This window comes from Homo sapiens, chromosome 6 (genome assembly GCF_000001405.40).
Source record: "Homo sapiens chromosome 6, GRCh38.p14 Primary Assembly".
In the NCBI taxonomy this organism is placed as follows: Eukaryota; Metazoa; Chordata; class Mammalia; order Primates; family Hominidae; genus Homo; species Homo sapiens.
Window position 1 is genome coordinate 116,456,634 of NC_000006.12, and position 8,711 is coordinate 116,465,344.

The window sequence follows — 8,711 nt, forward strand, 5'->3', positions numbered from 1 at the left end:
GGGTCTGATCTTTCCCTCCTTCTGCTTTACACTTCCATTGGAAAAAACTTTTATAAACGTTTAAAATATCTGAAGACAACAGCATGTTCCAGATTTTCAAATATGTTATCTAACATGAGCAATATATCCACAAATTTTAACATTCAGAAAGATATTCCCTTTAAGACTAGGAGTGTCAGATTTTGTAAACTAACTTTTTAATTTGGCATCTGGCATTTCTTCTTGCATATGTTACCTAAGATATTTGAATATTAATTTGATTTTACTCTTTTTGGAGGGTCTTGGGGCCAAGATTAATGTTGTATAAGAATCCAGCAGTCATATTCCAAGCAGGGTCATGCCATTAGTCTGTATTCTTATGAGAGCCGCAGAGAACAATGTTTGAGAACTAGCACACATGAAGACAATTGCAAGACACTTTCAGATTCACAGTGTGTATGTGCATTTCCTTTCAAGAAGTTCCTTTTCCAAGAAATGTTCTGTGGTTTCTGAAACCCATTCCTGACATTGAAAATGATAGTGCTGAAAAAGTACTACAGTTAAAGGAAACCAAAGGGAACCCATAACCATTGGCTTTACACTGTGCTTAATGTGAGACTCTACTACTCATTTCTTTTTATTTTTTATTTTTGACCTCTGAACTTTTTATTGGCCTCCTGCTCCTCGAAGGGTCCCCTACTTCTGCTGGCTTAATGTCTCAGAACTTTGGTGTCATTGGTCTCAGACACCACTTCGCCATCCACTATTGGGCGGGTGGTGTCTTTTGGATGGTTTGCATGGAGTTGCTGTTGTCCAGGGCATCACCAAGATTGAAGTCCTCGCCATCTTCCAGCAGGCATTGGTAGGTGGCAATCTGAGTCTCCAGCTTGACTTTGATGTCCAGCAGGGCCTCGTACTGCTGGGCCTAGTGCTGTCCCTCTGCCTGGGTCTGTGCCAGCTCTGACTCCAGGTGCAGCAGGATCCCATTGAGCTGTTCCATCTGCAGGGCATAGCAGGCCTCCACCTCCCTCAGGCTGCTTTCCAAGCGGCCTTCAGATTTCTCATGGAGTCCAGGTCGATCTCCAAGGAATGGATTGTACATCTCAGCTCTGTGAGCGTCATCTCAGCAGCTCCAACCTCGGTGGACTGAGTGGTGGCCACTGTGGTGCTCACCTCAATCTGCTGAGACCAGTACTTGTCCAGCTCCTCTTAGTTCTTCCGAGCCAGCTCGTCATATTGGGCCCAGATGTCTTCCATGATCTTGGCAAGGTCCTGAGATTTGGGGGCATCTACCTCCACGGTCAGCCCAGAGCTGGCAGTCTGGGCTTGTAGGCCTTTACTTCCTCTTCATGGTTCTTCATGAAGAGCAGCTGCTTTTTGAGAGCCTCGATCTCTGTCTCCAGCTGCAGCCGAGTGACATTGGTGTCATCAATGACCTTGTGGACCCCATGGATGTCGCTCTCCACAGACTGGCACATGGGCAGCTCTGTCTCATACTTGACACTGAAGTCATCAGCAGCAAAACAGGCATTGATTTGCAGAACGATGCGGGCATTGTCCACAGTATTTGTGAAGATCTGAGCCCTCAGGTCCTGATGGTCATGAAGTAATGGCTCCAGTCTCTGGCCTGGGGTCCCTTCTTCCCCAGGTGCTCCCGGATTTTGCTCTCCAGCTTCCAGTTCTCGGTCTCCAGGCTCCTCACTCTGTCCAGGTAGGAGGCCAGACAGTCGTTCAGGCTTTGCATGGTCTCCTTCTCATTCTGGATGCCTGCTATCCCTGCCAGACCCCTGGCCATCCCTGCAGCCAGGCCCCCGGATCCCATGCCGCCCCAGAAGCTGGTGGAGCGGGACACAGAGATCCGGGAACCAGAGTCCTGGGTGCCTGCATAGACACTGGCTGCACTGCTGACCAGCTGGGCGATGAAGCTGGGTGTCTGGACAGAGCCCAGGGAATGGTAGTTGGTGGAGAAGGTGGAGCAAGTGGTGAAGCTCATACTGTCCAGGGAGGAGAGCAAGAGGACAGGACTCAGGCTTTACCGATGACATTCTACTACTCATTTCTTAACAGCTGAAGCAAATCACAGGCTTTCAAAAGTGTAAAGACATTTAAAATATTATTTAGTCTACCTCTCCACACCATTAGGGTGTTAGTCAATTTCCACTAAGGGCTGAACTTCTGAGCAATATCCTCTCAGAACAGACCTGGGTATGGAGGGCTGGGAATCTTCAATAGACCCAGAGCTAGAACCAGTCAATCCAGTGGTGGTGGGAGTGGATGGCAGGGTACTAGACTCAAGACCAAGTGCTGGGGAAACATTCAGGCTGGCAGGCAAAACCTGGACTCTCAATTATAGAAACCTGTACTAAGTTCTGAATGATCATTGCATCTGGGAGAGTTGGGTTTGGGAGAGCACAGAAGTAGCAAACCCAGGAGGTGGTGTTTAGAGACACAAGCTGACAAGACAATATGTCAGGATGCAGCTCAGTCTGTGAAAGTTTCAGAGGCAGAATTGCAGACTACATATTCTGGTCTGTGAAGCACCTAAACCTGACCTTCCACTTGCAGCTTTGGCCTCATGATGTGCCAACTTGCCTGTCATTCTCAATGCTCCCATCACTCTAGCCTTCTTTCTAACCAAGCTCCTTTGTACTCCAGACTCATTCAGATTAAATGTCAGTTTCTCACAGAGGCTCTTTCAGGACACTCTCTAACTCCAATTTATCCTGTGCGTAATCTTTAGGACCCCTCCTCTCCATTTCCTATATCATCTCTACTGTAAGTTCAAAGACGGCAGGATACCTGTGTCTTCTTCCTTGTTGTATCCAGCAATACCAGGCACTTTTGATAGGTACTTGACATATTCTGAGTACTTATTAAACATTTAAATGAATGACTGAATGAACAAATGAACTAATTAATAACTGGTTAACAAATGAATTAATCTAGTTGGGGAAGGGGGCTGATAGATAAAAGTTTCTGTAAGTAAACATATTTCAAACAAATCCTTGACTAAATAACAGAAGCCAGGGAAGAGAAGGTGATGGACTTCATTAGAGTCTTAAAAAATGAAGGGAATGAAAACAGACCATAGGAATGAGGTGAAGGAGGAGATGGTGCTGATTAGATTGAGCCTCAGTGGATGATAAACTATTATAGCACAGTGGTAAAACCCTGGTATGGCTATCAGCAGGTAACCAGGAAAATGCCAGCCATCCCTCTTGGTTTGAGAGATGTGGGAGAATAAATTAATCTCACTCAAGAAGACAGAAGGATGCATTTTTATTAGGTTTCGGTTAGGGGAGATTTGGATAAAGCCATCTGCACAAAGGTTGTGGATATAGTGATGTTTCTGCATGATGGAATATGGGAAAGGGTGGACGAGAGAGGACACATCTTAGAGTATTATGGTAGAGGTGAAGAAGAGTCCAGCAGTAAGAGGAGAGTTACTCAAGGCACAGGGGAAGAAATTTATCTTGGGAGATGACAAATTACAAAGATAACAGTCAGAGCAGAAGTGATTCGCTTCAAACACGCAACTTTGCTGCAAGTTGACAGGAAGCCTAGCAGTATCTGGTCTAATCTCAGAGAAGAGGGCCCCAACTTTCCTGCATGACCATGAAGACCCTCATCTGGGGCTGGCCCCTAAACACATAGAAAAAAGATGTCTATTTACCACATCACTATGGAATGACAGCTTTTGGCACTACGCTAGGCACCCTGCTGGTGGTGTTGGAGAGGGAGTAGTTAAGAAGGCAAGTTGGACTAAGAAAAGAATAATACATTTCTTGTCCATTCTCTAAAAATTCACTTGGTTCCATGGGCTACCTATTCTTTCCAGATAAAATAAGGCAAGCCTGGTGGATGGGCACCAATAAGAACCATTTCATTGTGAACTGCCCACCCAAGCTCCATATCCAGATACTCTCCTTGTGGTGAAGCAGACAGCTAAGGTGTACACCAATTCTCTTAAGGTAGCAGAGTCATTGAGTCACTTAATACTATCCACTGAATTGATCCTCGTTTAAAATTCAAAATTCAGTATTCATCAAGATTCTTAGGTTATGTACAATGTAATTATTTGTTGTCTATTCCCCAAATTGCATTTTAAGGGGAAAACTCTCACACTGATCATTCATTTAACAGACATATCCTATATGTAAAGGCACTTTACATATGCTACTCAATCTACTCATGTCAGTAATCTTGAAAAGTGGGCACTATTATCCTTCTTTTACAAATAAGGATGCTGTGTCTCAGAGGGGCATACTTGTTAAACACACCACAGACAAGATGCACTTGACTTCAAAGCCCATGTTCTTTCAAGCACACCTCAGCTCAGTCTGGAGTCACACAGAGTAAGGCTCAATATCACAAAAGTGGTTACAGTGTTTGTGTCAGAACAACGCTGCTTGAGAAAACTGAAGGTGGAGGAAACAACATTAGATAGATGTAGCTGCAGTTTGAAATTTTGGGTTCAACTAGCATTCTTTGAATAATCATGTATCCCCTTCTGTGCAGATCAGCTTGGTGGTCAGAGTCAGAATTTTACTCTCCTCCAGGCATTGACAGTGTTATGACATATCTGAAAGAAAAGAACATTGTATTGACGAGTAAATCAATACAGTATATTTGGTCTAATGTCCTGAAGGAGATCAGGCAGAGGAGAGAAGAGTCAGTGTGAACTAGGCTGGTGGCTCTGTCCGGTAGGGAGATGGAAAGGGTGCCGCCCATCATAGAAGTACCAGAACTTGAGCTGGACTTTGCTGATTTAGCTTATGGAAGAGGAACCAGAAATTTGTCCTTGAATAATGTTTCCCGTAAGTAATCAGTTTTTTGATAATTATTTGGTTTTACTGTGATCTGGCTTAGTAACTAGGGTGGCTGCAATAGAGGAAAATCTGGTATTTCCCAGTTTTTCCAACTGGCGGCCGTGGGTCAAGAAGGTTAGTTTCCTGGTTCGTTGTCAGATTGGTGGTAATAAAGGAACAAGGTCAACCTTCTGTCAGAGTTCCTGAATTGGGGGAGGAAGATAACTGGTGCCTCTGCCTTTGGAATGGGGTGGGTGCCAGAGAAGTCAAGGTCCTGGGGGTGTTTGCTTGCCTGGTTCTGTTAACCAGAGGTGGTGTGGCTGAAATGAGAAAGTGAAACTTTAGGAAGGTCTGAGAAGCCCTCTTCCCTTTAAAAAAAAAAAAAAAAAGGCTGCTTCTCGCAGAGTGGAAAGCCCCGGTCCCCATCCCACCAAAACCATTTGACAAGCAGGACAACGAAGAGGCAGAAGGATCTGGGCCTGTGCGCGACGCCCCGGGGGACGAGGCTCATGGAGAAGTTTCGGGCGGTGCTGGACCTGCACGTCAAGCACCACAGCGCCTTGGGCTACGGCCTGGTGACCCTGCTGACGGCGGGCGGGGAGCGCATCTTCTCCGCCGTGGCATTCCAGTGCCCGTGCAGCGCCGCCTGGAACCTGCCCTACGGCCTGGTCTTCTTGCTGGTGCCGGCGCTCGCGCTCTTCCTCCTGGGCTACGTGCTGAGCGCACGCACGTGGCGCCTGCTCACCGGATGCTGCTCCAGCGCCCGCGCGAGTTGCGGATCGGCGCTGCGCGGCTCCCTGGTGTGCACGCAAATCAGCGCGGCCGCCGCGCTCGCGCCCCTCACCTGGGTGGCCGTGGCGCTGCTCGGGGGCGCCTTTTACGAGTGCGCGGCCACCGGGAGCGCGGCCTTCGCGCAGCGCCTGTGCCTCGGCCGCAACCGCAGCTGCGCCGCGGAGCTGCCGCTGGTGCCGTGCAACCAGGCCAAGGCGTCGGACGTGCAGGACCTCCTGAAGGATCTGAAGGCTCAGTCGCAGGTCTGCCGCTGGCGCTGGGGGCGTTTGGGAGGAGCCGAGAGGCCGAGCTTTCTCAGGGCCGCTGGGGTGAGGGAAAAATCGGTGACTTTTCTCCAGATATACAGTACCCTAAGAAAATCTAGAATGGCTCCTTGCATCTAATTTGCCGTCAAGAGAATATCTGAATAAAACGAATGAAAAGGAGAAAAACGCATTCCCGTAGTATCTGGCACTGTACATGAATCGTGGAAAGTGGGAGTGAGAGTGGGCACGCCTACTCAGTGCCAGATACTGCGCTAGGCCCTTGACCTCCTGCATTATTTTTACGTCTCACAACAGCTCTGTTGGGTGCAAAATTGCGGTTTTGCCATTACAAGTAATAGTTTCGTATCTCCCCTATATAGTGACTTCACTGAGTCTAAGTAAAGTTGTTTGCCCAGCCAATAGAAAGCAGAATTGTTAGAATTAAAGGGGTCTATAGAATAAAATGGGTTTGTCTGGCTCTAAAGCCACCACTGGACTTAGAAAGCTCAGAGGTTCTTTAAAATGAACACTTCTTTCCCAGGATTTGCAGAAATTCCACATTTTGAGTTCTAAGGGAATGGTATGGGCTCCTCCCTGGGCAGAATCATAGTGCATAACTTGGACTACAGTTGACTTTCCAAACGAGAAGTTGTACTGGGGGGCTAGGGAGGTTACTGCGACACCTTACTCTTAAGGAATTAAGACCTAAAACTGTTGCTTGTTCATCATCATAACTGGCGAGTAGTTGAAACTTTATCTGAGGATTTTTAAATTTCTTGTAAAAAACCAAGTAACTAAATTACTATTTTGTTGTGTTTTCTTAAGGTGTTGGGCTGGATCTTGATAGCAGTTGTTATCATCATTCTTCTGATTTTTACATCTGTCACCCGATGCCTATCTCCAGTTAGTTTTCTGCAGCTGAAATTCTGGAAAATCTATTTGGAACAGGAGCAGCAGATCCTTAAAAGTAAAGCCACAGAGCATGCAACTGAATTGGCAAAAGAGAATATTAAATGTTTCTTTGAGGGCTCGCATCCAAAAGAATATAACACTCCAAGCATGAAAGAGTGGCAGCAAATTTCATCACTGTATACTTTCAATCCGAAGGGCCAGTACTACAGCATGTTGCACAAATATGTCAACAGAAAAGAGAAGACTCACAGTATCAGGTCTACTGAAGGAGATACGGTGATTCCTGTTCTTGGCTTTGTAGATTCATCTGGTATAAACAGCACTCCTGAGTTATGACCTTTTGAATGAGTAGAAAAAAAAATTGTTTTGAATTATTGCTTTATTAAAAAATAAACATTGGTATTTTTTGAGTGCTTTTTTTCTTCCAAATTGTGGAATTTTATATCTGAAATTAAAATATAGAGCTTAACCTCTTTATAATATTATTTAAAACAAACAAAAAAAGAAAGTGATTCATCCAAAGTAAAAGCTAGAACTAAAAGAAGTCTTATATCCTTGTTCTAGAGTCCTTTTCAAATAAAAGACTTTTGGAGCAAAAACAGTGGCAGAACAATTGAACTTCAGACATTTCTGTTAGGTTATCTGATGTTAATTTCAAGTTCATTTTCTTGCCCACAACATCTTGTTAGGAACTTTAAAATTACGGCATTCTAGCTGGTTCTATAGCACAATTGATGGCACATTGGGCTTCTAGTCGAGCCTGCTGTGGTCATTCAAAAATTAGAGCATTTTATGACTCTAATAGGGTTACAATAATAAATTAATCATGAAAAGGAAAATAAACTTTGTAAAATACGAAATTTGAAAAAGTAGTTAAGAGAATTGCAGGCAACAAGTGTTGTTTTTAGTTTATAGGATCAGAGGAAAAGTGTTAAAGCTTATATGTTATGGTAAATATAAACTAAACACAAAAGTAGAGAGGATAGTTTTATGAGCCTCCAAGTAGTTGTTACACAGCTTCAACAGAGTTGGGAAGTCAGATAAAACCAATACCAAACAAATAAATGCAAATTGTGACCTGATTTAGATTAGGGGAGAAGGGATTTGGGGAAGCTTTTTAAAAACTGAATCCTGTAGGGTAGCAAGAAGGAGCATTTCAGTCATACAGATAAAACCAATACCATACAAAGAAATGCAAATTGTGACCTGATTTAGATTAGGGGAGAAGGGATTTGAGGAAACTTTTTGAAAACTGAATCCTGTAGGGTAGCAAGAAGGAGCATTTCAGTCCTACTGAAGGAACAGTATGTGCAAAGACTAGGGAGAAAAAGATGTTAGCAGAGTTGGAAACCTGAAAGGCGACTGAAAAAAATGAGCAAGGGACTGAGTGTGCAGTGCCTGGAAACCATGAGAAGGATTTTGGTTTTCATCATATGAGCATTTTAGGAAGATGGTTTGCTTTCCTTGAGAGAAAAGGAATGACATGGGAAGCAGGAGAGCCAGGGTAGAAGGAGAGAGACTAATCAGGAGGCCACTACAGTGGAAATAGGTGGGAGTGAACTTGAACTGAGTGGATGGGGACCAAAATGGAAAAAGTAGATAGATTCAAGGTAGACTTTGTACATAGATGTGGCAGGATTTGTTGATAGAAAGTCTCTAAAGACGGTGAGAGCAATTATATCTACGGATAAAATTCTGTAACTTTATAATGCCGGGACTTTTCAGCGATCCTTGCCTTCCATTAGCTTGTCATTCCTGCCCATTCCCCAAATTTGTGGCTGTTTTCTGAATTTTAAAATATGAGATAAAAAAACTTTAAACTATAAAATAATTGAGCACTGGTCATATTTAGCCCTTCTTCCTCTTTTGGCAGAAGCTTATGCTGATTTCTGTTTACCTTTTTCTGCATAAGGCCGTTAAAAAGAACTAACCTACAGGGCAGAATATCCTGTTGTTGAGAGTCATGCGTAACAAG

General features: G+C 44.4%; 1 protein-coding gene, 1 long non-coding RNA gene and 1 pseudogene across 4 annotated transcripts, besides 3 other annotated features; 1 reads left to right on the forward strand and 2 right to left on the reverse strand.

The window, feature by feature from the left end:
- On the reverse strand, positions 631-2,022 carry KRT18P22 (keratin 18 pseudogene 22; annotated as a pseudogene).
- CALHM6-AS1 (CALHM6 antisense RNA 1) lies at positions 3,845-7,071 on the reverse strand. The gene is made up of 2 exons (NR_174951.1): positions 6,986-7,071; positions 3,845-4,561 (listed from the first exon to the last, which is right to left on the reverse strand). It is a non-coding gene; the product is annotated as a CALHM6 antisense RNA 1 (long non-coding RNA).
- Positions 4,742-7,138, forward strand: CALHM6 (calcium homeostasis modulator family member 6). 3 transcript variants are annotated; one of them, NM_001010919.3, is made up of 3 exons: positions 4,742-4,796; positions 5,239-5,821; positions 6,650-7,138. In NM_001010919.3, the coding sequence occupies exons 2-3, from the start codon at positions 5,297-5,299 to the stop codon at positions 7,070-7,072; spliced, it is 948 nt and encodes a 315-aa protein (NP_001010919.1). In that variant the 5' UTR covers positions 4,742-4,796; positions 5,239-5,296; the 3' UTR covers positions 7,073-7,138. The 3 variants fall into 3 exon arrangements, with proteins under 3 accessions (NP_001010919.1, NP_001263389.1, XP_011534147.1); NM_001276460.2 differs by lacking the exon at positions 5,239-5,821; XM_011535845.4 differs by lacking the exon at positions 4,742-4,796 and having other exon boundaries at positions 5,225-5,887.
- Positions 5,148-5,257: an enhancer, noted in NCBI's record as "active region_24992". NCBI's record gives its function as "activates an Ori minimal core promoter by ATAC-STARR-seq in GM12878 lymphoblastoid cells {active_cell/tissue: GM12878}" and the evidence as "EXISTENCE:reporter gene assay evidence [ECO:0000049][PMID:35858748]".
- Positions 5,268-5,347: an enhancer, noted in NCBI's record as "active region_24993". NCBI's record gives its function as "activates an Ori minimal core promoter by ATAC-STARR-seq in GM12878 lymphoblastoid cells {active_cell/tissue: GM12878}" and the evidence as "EXISTENCE:reporter gene assay evidence [ECO:0000049][PMID:35858748]".
- Positions 5,728-5,807: a silencer, noted in NCBI's record as "silent region_17495". NCBI's record gives its function as "represses an Ori minimal core promoter by ATAC-STARR-seq in GM12878 lymphoblastoid cells {active_cell/tissue: GM12878}" and the evidence as "EXISTENCE:reporter gene assay evidence [ECO:0000049][PMID:35858748]".
- Positions 7,139-8,711: the final 1,573 nt, after the last annotated feature.